This window comes from Homo sapiens, chromosome 1 (genome assembly GCF_000001405.40).
Source record: "Homo sapiens chromosome 1, GRCh38.p14 Primary Assembly".
NCBI classification, from domain to species: Eukaryota; Metazoa; Chordata; class Mammalia; order Primates; family Hominidae; genus Homo; species Homo sapiens.
The window spans coordinates 41792340-41816874 of NC_000001.11; the positions used below are offsets into that span (position 1 = coordinate 41792340).

Sequence of the window (24535 nt, forward strand, 5' to 3'; positions counted from 1 at the left end):
TCTGCCCTAGGAGGCACCAGGAAATGTCTGTTGGGTGGGTAAATGAATGTGCAACTCAACCTCCCTTCAAGCTTCTCTCTCTAGGATGCTGACTTCCTCCAGCCGTGGTGGTGCTGCCTGTCACCATCTGACCCTCTCTGCTTCCCTTCCCCTGCCATACTTAGCAGGCACTCACAGCTGGAGGCAGGAGGCTCTCAAAGTGAAGGGAAAAACTCTTAGCTGCCACCATCCTGAAACCTGCCCTCCCCACAGCCACAAAAGGCCAAGGAGCATGGAAACAGCTGCTGCAAGGAGACCAGTGAGCAGGAAGGTGGGGCAGCCTCACAGGAGCTGCCCTGACTGGGGCCTTCCCTCTAGCAGTGACCTTGACTTAGAGAAAGGACACCTTCCATGGCCACTCAAACATACACATGACAGTTTCCCTCCACCTTCATTGCATACACTGAAGACAACTGGACAGAAAATAAAGAAAGTAAGGAGAACTTCCAGAACCATAGCCAGAAATGCAGAGTAACTTAAAGTAGCTCTGTTTTAATATATTGCTTGCTTCCCCCAAGGCCCTGCAGGGATGGAAGCTGTATCCTTCAAGGGCAATGGGATGAATAGTGGGGAGAGGAGAATGTTCAGGGGATCCTGGATTCTGCTCTTTCCAATGTGAATGGCCACCATATGGAAGAACGATTGGGCCACTCTCCCAGAAAGCTAATGATCAGTGTAGCATCAGCCCACACAGGAGTGGCCTGTCATGGGAGGCTCATACACTGTGTGCCATGAAGCAGTGGACATACTCAGAATCACATGCCACCACAAAGACTTCGGGTTCTGGGAACTTGGGACCTCCTGCCTTCTGGGGCTTCTTGGAACATCCATGCAGTCTGGCCCCAAGAATGCCAATTGCTCCTGATACCTGAGCCAACTTTCTGGGCTCCCCCTGTCTCATCAGGGATGCTCTCTATCTGCAGAGCACTACAAGTGGCTCAAGCCTGGTTCTCTGACTGCTTCAAAGGTCCTTCTCTTAATCTGGTTTACCTCACTCTTCTGCCTGCTTCTTGGAGCTCAGCTTCCTATGACTGGTGCCACAAAAGTTCCTAGGGTCACACACAGAGGGGCAGAGAAGCTGATCCACTGGAGAGGCTATTAGAACAGGTGGGAGGAGGCTGCACTGTGAACCAGGGTCTGGGGCCATGCCTTTCCCACCACATCATAAGCATTAATTCATTAATTCATTCACAAAATATATATTTAATGTCTACTACATGCTAGGCATAATTCTGGGAATAAAGCAATAGAAAAAAAACATGTGATGAAATATATTCAGGGAAATATATTTTGGTTTACCAAAGTAGAAAGATTTCTGTCCTGCAGGAAGGACTCAGAATTTTTACTATGTCAGCCACAGGTACTGTGACTTGCCCAGAAGGGTCTTAGCATATAGGCCCTTTGAGGAAGAAACATCAGTGTAGAAAATTTGAAAAACGTAGAAATGCACAAAGAAGAAAATAAAAATTACTGGTAATCCAACCACTCAGAAAATACTCTTATAAACATTTTTTGTGTTTGTCACTGAAATATTTTTATATACACATCTATAACTGCATAGATGTACCCACCATAACTTACAAAACCAATTCCCACATTCTTGTGTATTTAGATTGTCTCCAGTCTCTTAATATTGCAAACAATACAGTGAAGAGCATCCTTGTAAGTAATCCTGTATTAGTCAGTTCTCATGCTGCTAATAAAGACATACCCGAGACTGGGTAATTTATAAAGGAAAGAGTTTTAATGGACTTAGTTCCACATGGCTGGGGATGCCTCACAATCATGGTGGAAGACGTAGGAAGAGCAATGGGACGGCTTACATGGTAGCAGGCAAGAGAGTTTGTGCAGGGGAACTCCCATCTATAAAACCACCAGATTTCGAGAGACTTATTCACTATCACAATGACAGTAGGGGGGAAAATGCCCCCATGATTCAATTATCTCCACCTGGCCCCACCCTTGACACGTGGGAATTATTAAAATTCAAGGTGAGTTTGAGTGGGAACACAGAGCCAAACCATAGTAGATCCTTATCCATATCAGTGATTATTTTACTAGTATAAATCCTTGAAAGGGGAACTTATAGGTAAAAATGTAGAACTATTTGCTTTTATACTGCCAAAATGCCCTTTGGATATTTGAAGCAATTTATGCTCTTAACAGTGGTTGTTTACCATGCCTGGGTCCTCACACCCTAACAAACAAACAAACAAACAAAAAACAAAAAAACCCTAAGTATTTGGTTTTTATTTTTAAAAACTGCCATTTTGATAGGTAAAAATGGTTATCTCATTATTGTAACTTGCCTTTCTTATTACTAGGCAAACTAAACTTTTCCCATGTTTATTAGGCTTTTTGAATTTCTTTCTCTATTTTATATTTATTTTGTCCATTGCTGGGGAAGAATTTTTTTAACTTTTAATTTTGCAATAATCTTAGAATTACAGGAAAATTGCAAAGATAGTGCAGAGTTTCCATATACCCTTCAAACAATTTCATCTAATGTTAACATTCTCCATAACCATGGCACAGTTCTCAAAACTAGAAATTTATTTATTTATTTAGAGACAGGGTCTTGCTCTGTTGCCCAGGCTGGAATGTAGTGGCACAATCATAGCTTACTATAACCTCAAATGGACCTAAGACTATATAGTCATGTGCTACCACGCCCAGGTAAACTAAGAAATTAACACTGGTACAATACAATGAACTAAACTCTAGACTTTATTTGGATTTCACCAATGTTTTCTTGACTGTCCTTTTTGTCTTCCAGTATCTAATCCAGGATCTGACATTGCATTTAGATGTCACATCTCCTTAACTGTCCTCTGGTCAGTGATGGATTTTAGCCTTTCCTTTTCATGATCATGATATTTTTGAAGAGTCCTGGTACAGTATTTTGTATGATGTCCCTCAATTTGGATTTGTCTTATGTTTTCTCGTGATTAAACAGGGGCTGTGGGTTTTTGGAGGAATGTCACAGAAGTGAAATGCCCTTTTCTCCATTTCTGAGGTCACGTGATACCAACAAGGTGCATTACTGGTGATGTTAACCTTGACCACTTGGTTAAGGTGATGTCCGCCAGGTTTATTAACTGTGAAGTTACTATTTTTTCCTTGCCATACTCTATTATTTGGAAGTGAGTCACTAAGTCTAGCCCACACTCCAGCGGAGGGAATTTAAGCTCCATCTGCTGGAAGGGGAGTAGTATATATCTAGAATTCTCCTGTAAACAAGATTTGCACTTTCTTCCCTTATTTATTTATTTATTCAATTATTTATTTACAACAAATGTGGTCAGATTCTTTGGGTTATAGTTCAATACTATCATTATTTATTTCGGTGCTCAAATTGTTCTAGTTTTGGCTGTTGAGAGCTCTTTCTGGTTGGCTCCTGGGTCCTTCAGACATCCTACCATCTTTTTTTGTCTTGCTTTGTTTTTTGTTTTTAAACACTTCCTTACTTTCTGGAACTACAAAATGTTTTAGGCTCATTTTTTTGTGTGTTTGCTTTTTGTTTTTCCCTGCCCAGGCCTGGAATCAGTCATTTCTCCAAGGAGTTCTGGTTCTTTTTACTAGAGAATGGTCTTTAGAGACTAAGATCTGGGCAGTGAGTGTGCCCATTTCTACTAGGGTATTATTGGTTCTAGGCTCTTTCAGCGGACAGAACTGGAAAATATATGTGTGTATACTAATCCATGCATATCTCTACTTCTGTATACTTCTATCTGTACGTATATTAAAAATACATGATATTTTTGACTCTAATCCAGCACTATAGAGTTCATTCGAGCCTTTCTAGGGCAAAAATGTTAAACCTCTAAAGCACCTCTGAATACTGTCTGGAATCTCCATTTCCCACCCAATTCTGAGCAAAAATTAAATCAAGTAGAGCATTGATTGGCTATGACTGATCCCACGGCCATCTGCCGGGACCACACGACAGCCCCAGGATGGCTCCAGCTCTGTTCCTCTGGGCCTGGAGAAAGCAACAGAGGACAGAGAACTATATGAGGACAAAGAATAAGGCAGCCTTGCCCAGAGTTCAAATCCCAGCCCTGCCACTAACTACCTCCTGGTCGATTCTTTTTCCGTAAAATGAGGGGTTAAATTAGATGCTGCATAGATCTGGTATTCTGTGATTACAGAAGGCACTCGATTCATGTTGGCTGAGTGAATGAGTGGGTAAGGAGAGGAGTTTGGCACATGCCAGGGCCCCTCTCTAGTTCAAATCCACGGTCCATCATTATCTTGAGCAGGTAATTTACCTTGCCAGGCATCAGCATTTTTTATTTTATTCTTGGTACTTCTCTGTATTTTCTAGATTTTCTACAATAAACATGTTATTTTATACTTACTAAAAGAAAACAATTAGATTTTTTAAAAAAACACAATAGCATATACCATCCTTCTCCCTAGAATTATTATCAGTAAGTACTTCACAGGCTGGCACTGAGGAGCACTGTGCTCGTGTGGATGAACTTGAACCCATGCAAGCTTCAAGTTCCTGCCATAAAGTAGGTGTTCAACAGGCACTAGTTTCTGTCCTTTCTTTTCTCTCTCCTGCTGATCCAGAAGCTACATTGTGAAACTGGTGGAAAAAGTCTTCCTCTCCCTTTTTTCCCTAGTGTGAGTGTGATGGCCATGGCAAAAAAAGTCCCTGTCAAATGAGCCCCTTTCTTTCTCACTCAGAGTTCTCCCTCCCTGGCATCCTCCGTGAAGGGCCTCCTCAAGGTGTCTTTGCAGAAATGTGGAGTGTCCACCATCAAGGAAGATGGAGGGTCCATTCCCAGGTCCCACACCTGGCTGAACACGTCTCCCAGTCCAGCATGAAGCTAAGGAGCTTATGCTCCAGGAAGCTCCTGCTCATTTTCAACCAGGGCCCAGCTATGGTTGCTCCCCTGAGCCCTCATTATCTGTGCTGAAGACCTTAGGTTGCAGGGTTTGAAGCCTCACAGAGAGCAGAGCACAGTATGTGAGCTTCAGGCTACAAGCCTCCACCCCAGCAGTCCTGGCTTAAATTCTGTTTCTCTGCCTAAGATGAATTCCTCCAGGAAACTATTCCCTTCCCTCCTTCTGAGAGGAGGGAGGAAAGACGGCTTTTAAATTACATGCTTCTTCTTATTTAAAAAAAAATGATGGAGAATTTCTGGTAGGAGGAGGGGAAATATTTTGTACTTCTAGAACCAAGAAGGCACAGACGTTCCACCACGACAGCAAAAGTCCCAAGTCCGGAAAAGCTAGCATATTCAGCAAAAGCAAAGGGAACTGAGGGCTTCTCATGAAAACAAATCTAGAAATACTTGAATTTGTTTTAAAAAATTAGGTCAGGCACGGTGGCTCATGCCTGTAATTCCAGCACTTTGGGAGGCCAAGGCAGGCGGATCATAAGGTCAGGAGATCAAGACCATCCTGGCCAACATGGTGAAACCCCGTCTCTACTAAAATATAAAAAATTAGCCAGGCATGGTGCCTGTAGTCCCAGCTACTCTGGAGGCTAAGGCAGGGGAATCACTTGAACTCAGGTGGCAGAGGTTGCAGTGAGCCGAGATCGCACCATGGTACTCTAGCCTGGCAACAGAGCAAGACTCCATCTAAAAAAAAACAAAAACGAAAACAAAAACAAAAAACCATCATTCTCAGCAAACTATTACAGGACAAAAAACCAAACACTGCATGTTCTCACTCATAGGTGGGAATTGAACAATGAGAACACTTGGACACAGGAAGGGGAACATCACATACCGGGGCCTGTCGTGGGGTGCGGGGAGTGGGGAGGGATAGCATTAGGAGATATACCTAATGTAAATGACGAGTTAATGGGTGCAGCACACCAACATGGCACATGTATACATATGTAACAAACCTGCACATTGTGCACATGTACCCTAGAACTTAAAGTATAATTAAAAAAAAAAAAAGAGAGAAACACTCTTTTCCAATAGGGATTCCAAAATCCAAATCGTGGTCCCTTGTCAGCACCATTGAGTTCCTAACCATACCTGGAGGGAATATTACAAGTCCCTTTGCACTGATGCCAAGCCTCAAATTTGTCTGCTTTCTGTATTCATACTGAAGTGAACATAAAGCCATAGGCTGATGCCACACCAGGCTGTGCTGTCAGTGAAACCCCTGAAGAAGTATACCAACAAAGATACAACAGAATAATAAAATCAAGCTTGGTCTTTTCTCCAAAAATAATTTTAAAACCTCTGGGTAGCTGGTTCTCTTCTGCTGCCTTTTTTTTCTCCCCAATTAAAAAATGTATTTTTGCACCTACACTCTTAATGTTTTATTTTTATTGTCTTTGCTTTGTTAAATAATCTATTGTGTGTTTGCATTTGTTAAATCACTTTGGTCCATTCAATAAATGTTTATTGAAGAAAAAAAATCAGCATTTTGTCATAGAGCTCACTTTCCACATGAGCTACCTTCCTTTCTAGTGGATTTACAACCCAGACCCCTGCTTCTGATGGGGCTCCTTCAAAATTATTAAAGTGCTTGACTCTTGTAATATCATGTAGGGTTGGGTTATGTCTGCCCCAATGTTGACATGAAGAAATTCCTCCCTTTCTAACCCCACGGACAGACAGCACTTAGCATCTCTCACCTGGAGCATCACTTCAGCCTCTTGACTTGTCTCCTCCCTCCTTTTCTTTACTGCAGAACTTCTCAGAACCTTTAATATCCTGATGATCTTCCAAGAGGGAAATACAACACAAAATAATATATGTATTTCCTCAACTTATTTAGTCATGAAATCTTTTATTCAAAGAACATCTGTTAATGCCTCTCAGGCCACTAGGTTCTAGGAACTCAGTTTGGGAAACCCCACCCTCTAAAATATAATCCTAACTCCTCAGTAGGCATGTGAGCCCTTCCATTGTCTGCTGTCTGCCTCCCTCCCCAGGATCATTTTTCACCTCTCTCTTATACCTCTGACATTCGCCCTAGAACTGTTTGTGGTTCCTTAAACATGCTGTCTTATTTCAAACTTCAGTGCCTTTGCATATGCTATTCCACCAGCCTAGAATGCTGTTCCCTGCTGTCCTCTGAGTTCAACACTGCCAACTCTTTGAAATGTCCCCAGCTCCCTCAGGCTGACAAAGTCACACCAGCCCCAATGTTCCTGCAGTGCTAGCTTTATGCTTATCAGCACTTCCCCAGACTATAAATGTGTTTCTCGCCTGTAAATCGTCTTGCTTCTTGCTCTCTCCTGGCCTAATTCTTCAGCTCCTATCAATCCCATTAGATTCCCATCTCCCTTTAATACATTTCCTCTTTTTTTAAAAAAAGTTACCAAGAATGAGTTTCTTAGTTGCATGAGATCAAAAAAATCCTAAATTCTACACTCAGAAAGAAGAGTTTTAAAACACTTTTAGTCCAAAAAATGCATGTTAAAAATGGCACCCCCCCTTCCCCCCAACCCCAAGCATACAGGTCTCTTTTCATAGGGGGAATCATGTTCACAGGGCCCCAGGGAAAAATGCAGCAGGATCTGCCTGGTGCCTGAGAAGCTGCACACTATGCTGACTCAGATCCAGAGAGACAGCATTACTCAGGCCAATCAGAAAGGTGGTACCCACATCCCTAGGAGCAGCCTTACCCAACTCTACTCTGCAAATGGCCTCTTCCTGGGCTTTGGGGCAGGCAGGGACAAGAGCATCAATTCCTGAACTTCCTGACCATGCCACGTTCAGAATGCTTCCTTAGAAGCCATTTCACGAAGGTTTCCAAAAGGAGGATTTTTATCTTTCAAAGTAAATGAAAGAGGATATAGTAAACTATTGCTAAACTGTCCCAGGCCCTTTGCAATCTGACTTTGCCCCTCCTTTCATCAGGGGTGGAGTCTATTTCTCCCTCCCCTGAATCTGGCTGGGCTTGATTTTTCCTTTGGTCCAAAGGATGTGGCAGAAGGGATACTGCACCAGTTCTGGCCTCTGCCTTAAGAGGCATGGCAGGCTTGCTTCCGCATTCCTGGAGTCCTGAGCCTGCCATGCCATGGAGGAGCTGGGTCTGGCCCACTGGAGGACAAGAGGTCATGCAGAGAACCAGGCTGCTCCAGCCAAGAGCTGGCACCAGGCCCCTCGATGTGAGGGAGGCTCTCTTGGACCTCCCAGCTCAGCCCCACCACCAGCTGAATGCAGCTGCAGGAGTGAGCCCAGCCAAGACCAGCAGAGAACCACCCAGCCAGAATTGTGAGAAATAATAAATCATGATTTTAAGCTACAGAGTTTGAGTGTAGTCTGTTAAGCCAGCAATAGATAATGAAACAGAAGGGAAGGCTCAGAAGCCAGCAGGGAACTCAAATGTGTCCAGTGATAGAGGATGTGGGAAGTCCCCTTGCTATAGAAAATGCAAGAGCAAGGCAGGTGCCCCTTTCACTATATATGCAAAGTACCAAGGGTATCAGAAATGCAAGTGATCAGATGCCTCCCACATAGAGATGGGCTAGGATATGCCCTTCCTGCTTCTCCCATAATGTTCCAGACAGGGCCTATTACCCTGAGACAAAGGAAGGAATTCGTTACCTGCCTACCTAAACTCCCTCCCTCCCTTTCGTCTACATTATCTGGCCCTGAACCATGACTGTGCAGAGAACAAACTACAATTAATGCTATCTTTTACCCACAAGGAGCTACAATTACTAAGTGGAGTTAAATAAAGTCACAAAGGACTTAAAAGCAGGTACGATGAAGGGAGGTCAGAAGACAGGCAGTGTAACCGTGGGCTTATTAGGGCCCAGAAAAGAAGAAGATGCAAGGCTTTTTGCTGAAGGACCCTCTGTGCTGAGCCTGGAAGGAAGAGAGGTCCCTGCAGGAAGAGATTAAGTGAAGATATTATTAAGGTTGAGGGAGTAGCAAAGGGATAGCATAAGAGCAACATCCCCCTCCCTTGCCCCAGGTAATTCCTCCCTTCAATCTGGTCTCCCTTCTTCCCTTTCCAAGGTTCCTCAAGGCCATGCCACCTAGGCTGATGGGTTTTCTTATCTCTCTACTCCCTCCTGCACCCAGCCCTAGGTTGAGTTAATTGGGAATACTAATCATTTGAGAAGAGCTACTAAGACCTGAGAATGCCCCCCAGGTAGTAGTTCCAGCCTTGGTAATTTTAAGACTCTTACAAGAAATTACTGATACTTTTAGCATCTGTTGATTGAGAAAATACACATGTGAAAATAGATATCAGTTCTCCTTATAATAATGCCCCTAGGGAATCAGCTGGGCATGGCAGCATGCGCCTGTAGTCCCAGCTACTCGGGAGGCTGAGGCAGGAGAATGTGTGAACCCGGGAGGCGGAGCTTGCAGTGAGCCGAGATCTCGCCACTGCACTCCGGCCTGGGGCACAGAGTGAGACTCCATCTGAAAAAAATAAAATAAGATAAAAAAAAAATGCCCCTAGGGGTCCAGGAGCAGGTTGAATCCACCAAAAACCACTGATGAGAGGAAATAATCAGCCAATGAAACAGACCCATGCTTTTAGAAGGGCCTTCGTTGCTTTGACCCCAAAAGACAATGAGGGAATTGCAGGATCTGAAGCTGGTATGTCAAGGAGTGGGGGGCAGGGGAGAGGCATACCCTTGGCCCACAGGTCCTACTGGGACACCACTATCCAGCTGCTCTGGGAGAGAAGCAAGGTGTCCAAATGTAAATGCCATGGCGGCTGGGCCTGGCTTGCCTAGCCACAAGTTCAAACTCTGCTCAATGCTGGACTGGTATCATGTCCCTGCCAGTTTAGAAAGCATCTAAGGCAGTTTGGAAAAGCAGTAGACTAGAAACCACTAGTTAAGTAACTTTCAGACTCAGCTACTACCTAGCTTTGGGAGTTTTTCCAAGCTTTTTGTTTTTGTTTTTGGAGACAGAGTCTTGCTCTGTTGCTCAGGCTGGTGTGCAGTGGCGCCATCTCAGCTCACTGCAGTCTCAACTTCCTGGGCTCAAGAGATCCTCCCGACTCAGCCTCCCGAGTAGTTGGGGCCACAGGCATGTGTCACCACACCTGGCTAACTTTTTATTTTTCATAGAGATGGGGGTCTCCTGATATTGCCCAGGCTAGTCTCAAACTCCTGGGCTCAAGCAGTCCTCCTACCTCAGCCTCCTAAAATGCTGGGATTACTGGCATGAACCATTGCACCTGGCCCCAAGCTTTTTTCTTTTTTTGGCTTTCATCTTCAATAAAAAGGTGATGGAGGGTGGGAATAGGAGAGGAATGCTGAACTTGCTCTCCAAGGCATTGCCAAAGTGCCAACATCCTGAGCAAATGATTCTAGTCGACTTACTGTTTCTGAGCCTCAGGCTTCTTACCTGTAAAATGGGAATGACATGTAACAATTAAATGAGATACAAGTTGTGAAAATGACAGTCACATAGCAAGTATCAATTAACATGGGTTTTTCTCTCTTCCTCCCTTCTGTCCTTACAATGACAGATGGTTCTTTCTTCCCAGTCCCATCCCCCTGCTCTTACTGAGTTGCTAATTTGACCTCTGAGTATAAAATGTGTCCACTTTTAGTGACATGAAGCTAGTCCTCCCAGAGAGAGGCATTGCCAAAGTGAGTATGATGACTTCAAACACGCTCAGAAACCCTAGGAAGCAGCTGGCAGGGTGCCCCCACTCCCTGCCCCTGGCAATGCTGGGTTCCTCTTTGGCATTTGTACAGAAGGGAACTGGCCCAAGGCAGAAGGATGGGCCTAGGCTGGTGAGGCCACCTCCCTCCAGGCCTGGCCAAAGCCAAGGCAGGCACAGACAGCAACAACCACCCATTTTGCAACAAACAGGAAACCAGTTTACCAGCCTCAAAAATAGAACAGACAAAAACCCCAAAATATGAGGCTCTGACAGTGGGGCAGCTCAGCTTTCTCACATGGCTTCCTGACAGGCTGCGGAGTATGTGTTGTTATTGTTGCTTTAAATTTCACAGGCGAAAAAGTCTTGCAATGTCTTTATAAAGGTGACCAGCCTCTGGGGCCCAAGACCAGCAGGCAGCCCAGCCAATCATGCTTCCTGCACTGCCAAGGCCCCACCTTCTCAGTCTCTGATCCAGCTACTAATGACCCCAACTGCAAGGGCCACAGAAGCCTTGATTCCTGTCATGTCCTAACAGGATTGGCCCTGACATGTCTGCAAAGTGAGTCTTCCACACCCCAGCATTGCTTTTCCTGTGGCCCCTCACCTGGTGCCATGCCACTCACCCCAAAACTGCTTCCATAGGTACCCAGAGGCCCCACTGGGCCACATGGTCCAAGAGCCACACTGACAATAGGCCTGCAGACATTCCCTCCACGTGAAGCTGGACTCATGCTGTCCCCTCTGCCAAGAACAGTGTTCCTTGCCTGGTACACTCTCCTCAGAAGCAATCATACTGGAATGACATGGTTAGAACAGCAATGTTGCTAAGGACTATGTCACACAAACTCCCCTTGTTGAGGGATCACGGGGAAAATGTATCTTAGGTCTTAGCCCCAGGGAAAGCTGTGCACATCCTGGGCACTGGGTGCATTTTTAATCCTCTGGACATGATGACTAAGAACCGCCTATCGATTATGTTCCCTTTTTGTCTTCATTGTTAGGAAGCACAGTGCCAAACCTGTTCATCACCTCTAGCAGGTTTATGTCCTAACCTGTCCATGGCTTTATTTTAGTTTCTCCTCTTATTTTCCCTTGCATATTATTTCTTTATTAAATTTATTTTACCTTAATGTAGAATGTATATGATCTCAAATCTTTATTTGGAATAAAGTGAGGTATACATAAATAACTGAGCAAACAGCTCCTACTTACTCTGTAAAACCCACTTCGAATGTCCCCACCTCCGATTTCTGCCTAACGACTCCACAAAGGTGGGCTTCCCTCCCCAGTGGTCCCACAGCCCCTGCCTGTACCTGCCTGGATTCACACTCACCCACAGTTCTGTATTTTACTGTTTTCATGGCTCTCCCCACCAACCGACAGAAGGTTCCTGTGTGAAAGCTAAAAGCCCGCCCTCTGCCAAAATCTGCCCAGTGCTGCAGGCACACGGGCTTGTTTAATCCTCAAGACAAACCTGCCAGATAAGGCTGGCTGTGCCCATTTTACAGCTGAAGCAACTGGAGCTAGCCACCACCAGGTGCTCATTCAAGGTCATGTACTATTGAGTGGCAGAACTGATACAGAAGGCTTATCTCCCTAAGGTCACCCAAGACATGAAAAAGAGTTTTTATGTGAAAGAGAGAAAAGGAGAGAGAGGGAAGGGATTTAGATTTCCTTAGATTATCAAATCATTCACTGCAGATGTCAAAGTCATCTGCATCACTGGAACCATTTAAAATATGGCTTGATTCATAACAATTTATCCTCTACGACTATCTAGAAAAATCTACATGTATTTAATTGTGGCAGACTCATGCTGACCCTCCAATAGGCTGGTCAGAGCAAGTGGATTAGAGGAGTTACTCACATGCTAGATTGTTTTAGAGCATCTCCTATCCTCACTCCCTCACCCACTGTGTATACACACATTTTTAAATCCTGGTAAGTAGTTACAGGAAAAAAAATATATACTCAGAAGACAAGAGCTAATTCTGCAAGAAGCTTCTAGGAGAAAACAAAGCCTACTTTCCCGGTAGGCAAGTGCACATGACCCATGAGGCCAATCATTACCCTGGCTTTACAGTGTACAGACAATTAAACTACATGAAATGGCCGGGCGCGGTGGCTCACACCTGTAATCTCAGCACTTTGGGAGGCTGAGGCGGGCACATCGCCTGAGGTCAGAAGTTCGAGACCAGCCTGGCCAACATGGGGAAACCCCATCTCTACTGAAAATACAAAAATTAGCCAAGCTTGGTGGTGCGTGCCTATAATCCCAGCTACTCGGGAGACTGAGGCAGGAGAATTGCTTGAACCCAGGAGGCGGAAGTTGCCAGGAGCCGAGATTATGCCACTGCATTCTAGCCTAGGCAACAGAGTAAGACTCCCTCTCAAGACAAATTTAAAAATAAAAAATCAACTACATGAAACAATTTTTAATATTCCAATTGAGAACCCACTTGGCCTGAGGCCTTTAAATCAAAGTGGCCACTGGTATCTACACGTGCCCTTCCATGGAATGAGGAAGGCAGGACAACAGAGGCTGCTAGGGTCTGGGTTCAAATGGCCTTGGGCAAGCTGGGGGCTCTCCCTCTGCCCCTCGTTTACATGCGTGTGCGTGGGAGATGATAATGACACCACCTCTTAGGGTTGCAGTGAGGACGAAGCTGGCACAGGGATAATGTTGAATAAATCACTGCATCCCAGGCAAGAGGATACGTGACCAAGAGCTGGAGTCCTCTTTGTAGACCTTGTGTTCTTCCATTTTAAAATGAGAACAAGAGCCAGAGAGAAGGGAATAAGGCATAAGCTATGAATGGACGGGAAGGAGAAAGATTTCTGACCCACCTCTTCACAAAAGCAGCCCTTCCATCCTGATGGAGAGCACCTCTTTTGGGGGTCTGATTTGTGTCTCTCAGGCCACCTTACGCCTTGTGTTCTGTGTGTGTGTGTACACGTGCACGCACACACATCTCCTCTGTAAAGCTCATGCACCCAGGTCCTGAGCCTGATTCCCCCCACTCCCTCCCGTGTCTGGTACGTGGTTGAGATCAGTAAGCACAGGTTGAGTAAATCACAATGGTAGAAGCAGTACCAGCTGAGGCACAGAAGGGATCTTCAAATGTCAGTTCTCTTTGTCCTCCTTGCCAGATGAGGCCCCCAGAGCCTGCCCTCTGCCTTCCTTCCTGAATGTTCCAGGGACTCCCCTCTGCTCTCCAGACAAACACCCTCACTCTGCCACCAAGGCCCCTCTCAGCCTGCACCAGCAGCCACCCCCCAGGGCTGCCCCCTTATCATCCCCTCTCTTCCTGTTGACAGCCTTGGATGACATAACCTTAGGAGACCCAGCCACGGATCAACCTGACTACACAGCGTGGGCATGGTAGGGGAATAGGTGATTCAAAGATTTCCTGGGTGTGGTCCCCTGCCCTCTCCCTTCACCCCCTCTGAAGCATGTCACAGTGGTTGACAGATTGAAGGCCCAGCCCCGGCATGGAGCCCCTGCTATGCCACTTACACTCTTCTGGACCTTGGGAAGACAACTTCACCTCCATAAGCCTCCATTTCTTATGTGTGAATGGGGGTAAGAAGAGCATGGATGCATTTCACCTGCCTCTGAAGGTTGTCACTAGAATGAGAAGCACTGATCTCCACCCGGCACATGGCGAGGGCCAGCGCAGGTGGCTCCGTCCCAGCACCATGATGAGTAAAAGCTGAGCAGGAAGGGGGAAACTGTGCTTCCCCTCTGTGGCACTCCAGTGGGCAAGGAGGCCTTGGAAGGCGCAGGGCCGGGGCCAGCGGGACCACTCAGGCTCACCTGGGACTCCAGAGGGAAGGGGCATCTCAGGACGACTCCACAGGGTAGGGGGCTCCTAGCTCAACATCTTCCCTGCTTTACCCAAGAGAGGTCAAGACGACAGGACTGAGAGTATGATGTGCTCGCCACCCCTTGCCCTCACCCCACGCCCCACCCACACAGCCCCTACACCTTCAGGAGGATGGGATGAGTCATCATTAGGTCACTGGGTCATCGAGTAAGCAGTGGGGGCCACAGGGTGCAGTTTCCTCCCTTCCTCCCCGCCCAGCCCACCTACGGCTCTCCTCCTACTCTCTGCCCCCGCTACTTTCCTGTGCTCTGATGTGGGAGGGATATCGCTCATTGACAGGTTTCAAAACTAAAAGTAGAGCGCATTTAGTCTTCTCCTGTGGCTGAGCTCAGCTCCCAGCTCCCAGAACTTTGCCATGCTGCTGCAGGGCCGGCATGCCCCCTCCTCACCCTCACGGGGAGGGCCCCCATGGTGTTAGCCAGGGCTCAAGAATGAAGCTAGGACAGGAGGGGCAGAAGACGATGAAGGGAAGTGCAAACATATGACCCTGTCATCTGTTAGGCCTTGAGGTAGATCCTGGGACCCCAGACGACAGAAGAGTGGAAGGGAAATCAGAAACCAGCATACTTCACCTGTCTGGAGTGCCAGACCCTGCCAGGTACAGAGAGAGAGACAGAGGGAGTGAGGGAAGGAGGGACCTGTATGGAGACTGAATTACAGGGCAGACACAGGATCCCTACAGAATCCTGCCAGGCAGTTGTTCCAATGTGTAGCGATAAGCAGTGACAGGGCAGAAATGGGAGGCGATTTTCCCAGCCTGTCACCTCCAGCAAGGTGTGAGCCAGAATGCACACGCAGGCCTGCGTGTCTCTGGGGCTGATGACAGAGTCACAAGGAAACAGATCTCCATAGCACAGCGTGGAAAGGGCCAATGCTGTTGGGTGAAAGATGCTCTGGGAGGTCAAGAGAAGGGCCAATTAACCCCATCTGGGGAAGCATTTCATGACGGTTGTGATGCTTGCCCTGGATCTGAACAGCACATGCATGGGAATAGGTCAGGAAGTCAAGGGGACAAAGATCAGGGCAAAGGCACCAAGGTGTGTAGTCATGATGGGGGGCAGGGGGAAGGCATCAGGAGGCTCCAGCCAAGGAGGAGGCTGTGAAGGAGGCACTCAGCAGCCCATGCTGACTTTCCTTATAACTTGGACCCCAGAAGTCACTGCTATTTCCAGAAAATTAGAGTCACAAATCTGATAATATTATCAACCACTAACAGGGCATCCACTATGGGCTAGACATTGTCCTAAGCACTTCATAAACACTACCCCCATTTAATCTTCACAACAACCCTATAAAGTAAGATTACTACCCCCATTTGGTAGAGATCAAGAACTAGGCCCAAAGAGGTTGACTCACTTGCCCAAGGCACACACCTCTACAAGGGGTGGGGCTGGACTTGAACCTGAGGCTCCAGAGGGCATGCTCTCCTGACCACTCAGCTGGGTTGCCCCAAAGACCACAAAATGCCTTTCCTGCTCCCCAGAAGGTCCAGTTCATCCTCTCCACTAGGCTGCAGGCATCTCCAGAGCAGGGCTGTGTCCTCTCCTCCTTCTATTGAGTTCCCCTACCTGAGCCTGGCCTTTGTAAAGAAATTTGACAGGCACATCATGACAGGCAGAATCCAGGGGAAGAAAGCACTTGTCACAGTCCAGTTTGGGCTGGGAACCAACAATTTGTTGACTTAATCAGGCAGATGCAAAAAGGTGTTGTCATGGTGGCAAGCTTTCTATTCCAGGCGGCCAGGCCATAATTAAATGTCCTGACCTGCACACCTCCAATTACAGCACAAGAGCTGGTTTCCCAGGCCTGTTAACTAGCAATTATAGAACCTTCCAGTGAAATTCCAAATCACTTAGTAAAGGTCAACTTCCTTTATTTATTTTTCAGATTTGGGGGTAGAAGTGAAATGGAATTATTGCCCAAATTATGTGTGACATCCATTACTTAAAATAGGTTTATTCAAACGGCCCATATGGAGCAAGGGATGGAGCCTGCAGTTCTTACAAGTTGTTATAAGGGATCTCATTTATGGAGCACCTGCTATGTGGCAGGCAAAACCACAGTGGCTTTAAATGTGTTCTATGATTTAATTCTTATAATAAACTTAAGAGGTAGGAATTACTATTTCCATTTTGAAAAGGAGTAAACTGAAGATCAGAAAAGTTAAGTAACCTTCCCAGGGTCATACAGCTGATGCTTCAGAATTCAGGATTTACAGCCAGGTCTGTCTGCCTCTGGACACCAGGCTCTTCCCATTACTAGGTGGTCTCAAGCTAAGTAACACAATTTGGGGTTCAGAGCACAGCTCCTATGTGTTGTGCAAGGAGTGCTGAGACCTAAAATATTCCCTTCTCCTGGCCTATCCATGAAGGCACAGTTGAGGCACAGGTCTCTTCCAGCCTCTGGGATGGTTACCATGTTAGGGTTAATAACCCTTCATTGTTGACGGCTCAGACAGCTTTTTATATTGATAAGAGAGACTTGGAACAGTGTGAGGACAGTAGGCCTTCAGAACAGAAACAGGTGGTACCAAAGACACGGTCTTCATGCCATCACTTGCCACGTGATGCCCATGGCAGGTGCCACTAATCAACAGTGACCCCAGGCTCCTTCTCAATACAGGTGATTCTTCCAATGCATTGAACTGGCCCAGGAGATGCAAATTGTTTTCTCTCTCTGTCTTAGATATATGGTGACCATATTTTCTGCATGCAAAATTCTGACATGTAATTCAACTGAAGATTATTTCCCTGATTTATGAATTTATTTATGCTTTACAAAAGCTAAAGTCAAATCACATTCCCCCATATATTTAACAAATCACTTTTAATGAAAAGAATAAATGCCCCTTAATCAGAATTGTCCCAGATGATCTAGGCCATATGGTTGTTACAGTTGACTGTGGGTGCAGATCCTGGGCCTGTGCACAAAAAGACACTCAGTAAACACATGGGGAACAAGTGAATGGGAGGAGGGTTCAGATGAAAGAAAAAGGGGAAGGTCCCTGAGAATAAATCTGCTGACATCACCATCTCGCCGAGTCCATGCTTGACTGGGGACTTTCCTGAAGCTATAAATTACTTTTCAATGTCTCATTCCAGGAGAGAAATATCCAAACGACATGTCCATCTGATGAAGAGAACAGTGTACATGCACACACCAGATGCATGTGGGTGCAGCTGCCCAAATTGCAGCCAGTCAAGTTTTATACCTGACTGGCATAAAACTTAATCAGGCTCCAGTGTTCAGGGCCAAAAGCCACAACAAACATTTCAAAGTCAGGCCTCACCCTCCATCTCACAGATAGTCCCCCAGCTGCCCACAAGACCTGGACTGATTGGGTAATTGTAGAAATCCACATCCAAGAGGTTGAAATGGCAGAACTGCTATGAAGCTTGTCCCAGTTTTTCGATTCTGCCTTCAGGCAGCAACAATCCTTTCAGTTGCTTATCTCAAATAACTAAGTCACCTCCACTGAAGAAGTGCGATCAACCACTTGTAAGAAAGCAAAACTCCACAAGCATCCTAGCATCAGGGCCCACTAGTTGACTCCAGGATGAGTGCAATGATCTCTCCTGGGTACCAAGAAGACTCCATCCAGAGAGAGGGCAGATAACAAATGTCCATCTTAGGTCCCTTGCCCCCCATCCACCATCTCCTAGTCCCTGGGACCTCCATCTAAGAGGAGAAGCACCAGCCTTGGCAATGGAAGCCCACACCAGTAGGGGCTGGCCCCACACTGATCCTGGTAGGTTCATGCTTATGCTTCTGCCTCATGCTGAACTAGTGCATGCCTCAGCCCTTTGGAACCCCTTGGAGCTCTCCAAGGTACTGACCCTCATTCCTGGCTGGGCCCCTAAAAACAGTGTCATGGTGAAATGTGGTTATTTTGAGTTTATATATGGTTACAGTCTTTTAAAAAGAATCAATTCAAAATAAATTTGGCTTCACTGTTGTACCTCATTTTAAGAAGTAGTTTTCTAACTTTTCACCTCCAATTTATAGTGTGGATCTCTTTAAGAAGCCAGGTGGCCTATGTGGCATGTGGCTTATGGATTTGCCTGTAATGGCCCTGAAGCCTTTGACATCACCAAGTCCTCACTCCTTTGGATCTTGCCTGTCCTATTTCTTGGCCTTGTGCCCTTCCCAATCCCTTCCTATCAACTGCAGACTCCTAGGATGCCCTTTTCCAGCCCTTACAGGGCACTATGATTGTTTATTGACCAGTTTATTTCCCCCATTGGCCTGAGTCCTCCAATGACCAGATTTTTTTTTTTTTTGTACCTAATGCAGGGTTTGTGTCACCTGGGTCCTCAGTTGGTGTTTATTGCCCAGTGGGCAGCTAGTGAATAGTCTCCTGGGTGTGACCCAGGAGATCTTCCATCTCTTAAGCCCTTGGCTTTTCCTACTCCCCAAGGCCCACTCTGGCAGCCAGCCAGGTGTGCTGTCCTCCCAATGGTAGGAACAGTGGTCTGTGCTAGTCTCCTGCTCATAAGAAACTTCAGGATCCATGTCTTCTGCTTGCTTGTTTGTTGTATTTCCTAGAGGAAAACAGTCTGGTGTTAACCTTGGGTTTTACTGGCTACCTCACCCCATAGAAACACAACAATAACAACGAATGCTTCTTTGAACACCATTTTTCACTATTCTAAGCATTTTATATGCATTAATTATCAGTTACATTTGCTGTTAGGCAAATGCTACCACATCCTCTTTTTACAGATAATGAGGCAGACAGAGAGGTTATGTGACTCACTTGGGGCCGCCCAGCTGGTTAGTGACGGGCCCAGAGCACCCTCCAGAGACACTGTCCTGAACCATCGTGCTGTGCTGCCACCCACTGAGCTTGGAGCACCACGGGGAGGGGGTGGGGAAAGGCGAAACGTCAGGAGAGGGTGAGAAATGGGAATTTGGAGGCATAAAGTCAGGAAAAGGTTGAGTCCTTTTTATAATAAATTCCTAAAAGAGGGAATACGAAAATCGCAGTTGCTGTAGTTGTACAGATGAGTCCTTATCTAACTCCATACAATTAATATAAAGAACCATATAATTAATTTACAACTGGAAAAAAAAATACTTTATTCTAAAGATGAGCAAGCAGAGGCCCAGAGAAGCCCCCGAGTGCCCAAGTTACAAAGAAGAGTGTCCAGAGGCACTGGCTTAAGAAGACAGAAGGCACTCAGTTGAACCATTTTTACAATGGTATAAAGAACCCCCAAGGTGATATTTTAATAAACAAAATGACCCAGGTCATTAATCTCTCTGCTGCTTTGAGACATACACAGGTGCTCCCAGGGCTGAGGCTGTGGAATCCCAGCCAGCTATCCTCTAGGGGGAGCTAGAGGCAGTCCTTCCCTTTAAACAGGGCCTTCATTAAGCAAACTTAACAAACACGAGGAGCACAAACAGAAACCTCTTTCTCAGCTTGCAACGGACAGATGTTTAATAAGATGCCATGGGCCGGGTGCAGTGGCTCATGCCTGTAATTCCAGCATTTGGGGAGGCTGAGGAGGGAGGATCGCTTAGGGCCAGGAGTTCAAGGCTGCAGTGAGCTATGACCATGTCGCTGCACTCCAGCCTGGAGAACAGAGCAAGACTGTCTTAAAAACAAAACAAAACAACAACAAAAACAAAAAAATAAATAAGATGTCATGGATATGGAATAAATAGAGGATAAAGCCCACTGAGGAAATGCCTGAATTCTAGACAATCTCAGCAGCTTTCTTGCATTCCTCTGGAATGACTGGGCCACATCTGTATTGTGTTCCCATCTGGACACTTCATTTTAAGAGTGATAGTGACGCATTTATCCTGGGAAGGGAAATTAGCAAATACCAAGGCTGGTAGGGGGTGGGGGGGGACCTGGGCTGCTCACCCCAGAGAAGACTGGCCAGCTGGGCTGCGAAGCCACCACTCCAACAGTTCCCTGTCTGTGAAAAACAGAGTGTCCCCTTCCCTGAGGGTGCACTCCTCCTTGGGGGTGGGGGGACAGATAAGTTAGAACTGCCAAGGTTCTCTGCTCCTTAAATGCAGCCTAGCAGGATGGGTGGAGGGGGTGGGGGGCGGTCCTTGCAGCACTCAGAGCCAAGCGCTTTCTGGACCTGGTAAAGTGCCTATGCACTCTGGGGCCTCTGAGACTCCTACAGCAAGAAGGACCTTAGCTGTCTCCAGGCCCTGATCCAACCACTTCATTTCATTTTATCTATTTTATTTTATTTTATTTTTGAGATGGAGTCTTGCTCTGAAGCCTAGGCTGGAGTGCAGTGGTGCGATCTTGGCTCACTGCAACCTCTGCCTCCCAAGTTCAAGCGATTCTTCTGCCTCAGCCTCCCAAACAACCCCTTCATTTTCGAGATGAGGGCTCTGAGGCTCTGGGTTCCATGGCCAGTAAGAAGCAGAAGTGGGACTGGAGTCCAGTCATGCAGCCCCCCATCACCCTATCTAGTCCTCTTGCCATTTGGCCCACAGCCTCCACCAGCAGGAGCAACACTAGGCGCCAATCTTGCCCTGTCTTTCTGGTGATCTGGAAACAGTCCTATCATGGCAGCTGGAAAACAGTGGCTCACACTGCTGCCAGGCAATGTTCACCAGCTGGTCCTCCTCCCAAACACACTGGCAAGACCTAGTGACACACAGGGTGCCTGAGAGACTGTGCACCCACATACCGCCTTGCAATTGTCCATCCCCAGCCATTAACAGGTGCGACTTCTCTCCGCAGGACCACAGTGGATAGAAATCTCTGTGGAAATCTCCTCTTGGCTGCTAGCCATAGAGGACAGATCTTCTACGCCAAAGGGAGAAGGCTGAGAACCATAAAGCCATCAAGTAGGAGGGACCATGCAGTGCTCTCTGATGCCCAATATGTAACCATAATACATGAGAGACCATTAAAGGAGAAGAGCTGGGGAACCCCACCCCTGCCCCATGCCATACAACTCTTCCTAAACACAGGGTCTTCACAGCCAGCCTCGACAAGAGACACATGTAGAAGGGAACCATGACTAGCCATTCCACAGACCAGACCAGCACAGCCTGTTGTGGTGGAGACAGTAGCTTCTTCCCCAACCATTCAGCACTGCGGCCTGGGCTTCCTCACCTACAGATGTCTAGGGCTCTGATGCCTTCCTGTAGTTACCCACAGCAGCCCACAGCACTGCCCTTTCTCAATCTCAGCCTCCTCCCCACCCCTACACGGTCCATCCTCCAGTGGTGGGGGCTTCATCTCCTGATGGTCTTGACCTTGGGCACTCTTATCTTGCTGTCCAAGGGAAATCCCCAGAAGACACTGAGTAATGAGAGCTGAGAGAATGGGACCTTGCTTTTAGGCCATGGGTGAAATTCAAGCCCCAGTACGTCATGTCTGTGAGGCTTGTGGAAAGCTGGCTTCTGAGTGAGTGTCCCTCAGCCAGCACTCAGCAGACATTTATCTGGCATGACCTCTGCGCTCACACTGCCAGGGCTGGAGTGCAGAGCCACAGGAGAGTGGGGTCACGTGGGGACAGTTCTTCCCCTCTCCCTACCCTGTGCTGTATGAACTATATCCATCACCTCTTTTAGCTCTCATGCCACCATGGTGGTTGGTATGTTCCCATTCCACATATGAGTAAATGTAGACCCATGAGGGTTAAGGGAATGGCCCAAAGTCACATGGCTAAGATGCAGAACCAGAACTTGAATGCAGGCCCGGCTTCCCTAAGGCTAGTGCCTGCCACCAGATTATAGCCATGAATCTTGCATAACCTGGGTGAAACGCTTTTCCAAACTCTATTTCAAAATTATGAGTTGGCCTAAAATATGACTCCCACAGCATGCTAATCTTGTAATTACTATTCATTTATGACCACTCTCCATTGCATTTGCAACTGAAAGCTTTATTATGCATTAGTGTGTTTCGGTTCCACAAATATTTATGTTTCCATTCCACAGGTAAGAATAGGTACCCAAGAAATTCTTTTCCCCATTTTAAAATGGAGAGTTGCTCCTTTATGAAAGCATTCCTTTCAGTGAATCCATTTATTCAACTGCCCATTGATTCAAAAGCATTTACTGAGTGTAAAAGGCATACACGTTATATGCATGATATGCAAAATCAGCACTGCTCTGGGTTTTGGAGATACAGCAGTAATCAGGACAGATAAGGTTCCTGCTAAAATCAAACTTAGGTTCTAGCAGAGGAGACAGACAGTAAATAAGTAAATAAATAAATAAGATGGTTCAGGTAAGAGGTGCTATGAAGAAAGTAAAACAGGATGGCCTGGGGATGTAATAAGAGGTAACATCTGAACTGATACCTGTTACCTGCTGACTGAAAAGAAGTCAGCCATATAAAGATTAGGTGAAAGAAAGTTCTAGGCAGAAGGGGGTCAGGTGCAGTGGCTCATGTCTGTAATTCCAGCATTTTGGGAAGCTGAGGTGGGAGGTTACTTGAAGCCAGGAGTTCAAGACCTGCCTGGGCAACATAGTGGGACCCTTTCTCTACAAAAAATAAAAATTAGCTGGGCATGGTGGTGCATGCCTGCAGCCCCAGCTATTCAGGAGGCTGAAACAAGAGGATGGCTTGAGCCAGGAGTTTGAGGCTGCAGTGAGCTATGATCACACCACCGCACTCCAGCCTGGGTGATAGAGTGAGACCCTGTCTCAAAAAAAGAAAGAAAAAAAGAGAAAAGAAAAGAAAGTTCTAGACAGAAGGAACAACAAGTACAAAGCCCCTGAGGTAGGAATGGGAATGGTCACAGCCAGTGTTAATGGGACCTAGACAGTTCAAAGGGAAGCAGGGGAAGATAGGGAGGCTGACCCATAACAGGCCTCAGAGGCCCATGGAGGAGGCTTAGCTTTTATCCTAGTGGCATGTGGAGAACCAGGCATGAAAACACATATCATGAATCGCCAACAAGTGCCGTAGGAATCGATGCTTTTTTATTGTTTTTTTTTTTTTTATTGTTGTTGTTGTTTTTTGAGACAGAAGTCTCTCTCTGTTGCCCAAGCCGGAGTGCAGTGGTGGGATCTCGGCCCACTGCAACCCCTGCCTCCTGGGTTCAAGCAATCCTCCTGTCTCAGCCTCCTGAGTAGCTGGAGAACCACATCCCCAAAACTTAGAAATCAGATTGCCTTCAGAATTAAACCACTGAAGCCCACGTGCCGTTGATGCAATTAGTCACCTGTTGGTTCTGGAGTAAGTCCCCAAAGAGCTGTGGAGCATCCTAAACTAATCAAGGTGGCCTTGGAAGCAGGGCCAGTATTAGTATGTAGAAAGTGGCAGTACCAGCATTTGAACCCAGTTCAGCCTGACTCCACAATCCCAAGTCTTGTCCACTCCAGCCTCTCAGTAGCTTCCATAAAGCTTAGACACATAGCACACATAAAGATAACATGGAGAACTGTTGCCAGCATTGAACAGAAAGCACATTCTTGTGTGGCATTTTGCTTATGGCACAATCGGGGTGGGTACATGGAAGGCAGCCATGGAGTAGGCCATTCAAACCTGGTGAAACAAGAAGTTTAAGTGTTTCTCTTATTTCAGATCAAACCCAGAAGGCAAATTTTCATTAACTAACAACTAAAGGCATCTGTTACGGCTGGGTGCAGTGGCACACTCCTGTAATCCCAGCACTTTGGGAGGTCGAGGTGGGTAGATTACTTGAGGTCAGGAGTTTGAGACCAGCCTGGCCAACATGGTGAAACCCCATCTCTACCAAAAATACAAAAATTAGCCAGGCATGGTGGCGTAATCCCAGCTACTCAGGAGGCTGAGACATGAGGATTGCTTGAACCCAGGAGGCAGGAGTTGCAGTGGGCTGAGATCCCACCACTGCACTCCAGCCTGGGCAACAGAAGGAGACTTCAGCCTCAAACAAAACAAAACAAAACAAAACAAAAACATAGCATCTATTCTTACAGCATTTGTTGGTGATTCACGATATGTGTTTTTATGTGTGGTTCTCCTGCAAGCCCCATGAGAAAGAAGGGCTACAAACTTGCATTCCTAACACACCACTTGCTTCATCTTGCCATGCTCTTGCCCTCTGCTAGCACTGTCCACCTGG

General features: G+C 46.5%; 1 protein-coding gene across 2 annotated transcripts in view, besides 5 other annotated features; it reads right to left on the reverse strand.

Moving 5' to 3' along the window:
* Positions 1-24535, reverse strand: part of HIVEP3 (HIVEP zinc finger 3) — a 529570-nt gene that overhangs the window by 285975 nt on the left and 219060 nt on the right. The window lies entirely within an intron of this gene.
* Positions 7591-7650: an enhancer, noted in NCBI's record as "active region_884". NCBI's record gives its function as "activates an Ori minimal core promoter by ATAC-STARR-seq in GM12878 lymphoblastoid cells {active_cell/tissue: GM12878}" and the evidence as "EXISTENCE:reporter gene assay evidence [ECO:0000049][PMID:35858748]".
* Positions 12147-12206: an enhancer, noted in NCBI's record as "active region_885". NCBI's record gives its function as "activates an Ori minimal core promoter by ATAC-STARR-seq in GM12878 lymphoblastoid cells {active_cell/tissue: GM12878}" and the evidence as "EXISTENCE:reporter gene assay evidence [ECO:0000049][PMID:35858748]".
* Positions 13667-13746: an enhancer, noted in NCBI's record as "active region_886". NCBI's record gives its function as "activates an Ori minimal core promoter by ATAC-STARR-seq in GM12878 lymphoblastoid cells {active_cell/tissue: GM12878}" and the evidence as "EXISTENCE:reporter gene assay evidence [ECO:0000049][PMID:35858748]".
* Positions 13757-13826: an enhancer, noted in NCBI's record as "active region_887". NCBI's record gives its function as "activates an Ori minimal core promoter by ATAC-STARR-seq in GM12878 lymphoblastoid cells {active_cell/tissue: GM12878}" and the evidence as "EXISTENCE:reporter gene assay evidence [ECO:0000049][PMID:35858748]".
* Positions 14167-14216: an enhancer, noted in NCBI's record as "active region_888". NCBI's record gives its function as "activates an Ori minimal core promoter by ATAC-STARR-seq in GM12878 lymphoblastoid cells {active_cell/tissue: GM12878}" and the evidence as "EXISTENCE:reporter gene assay evidence [ECO:0000049][PMID:35858748]".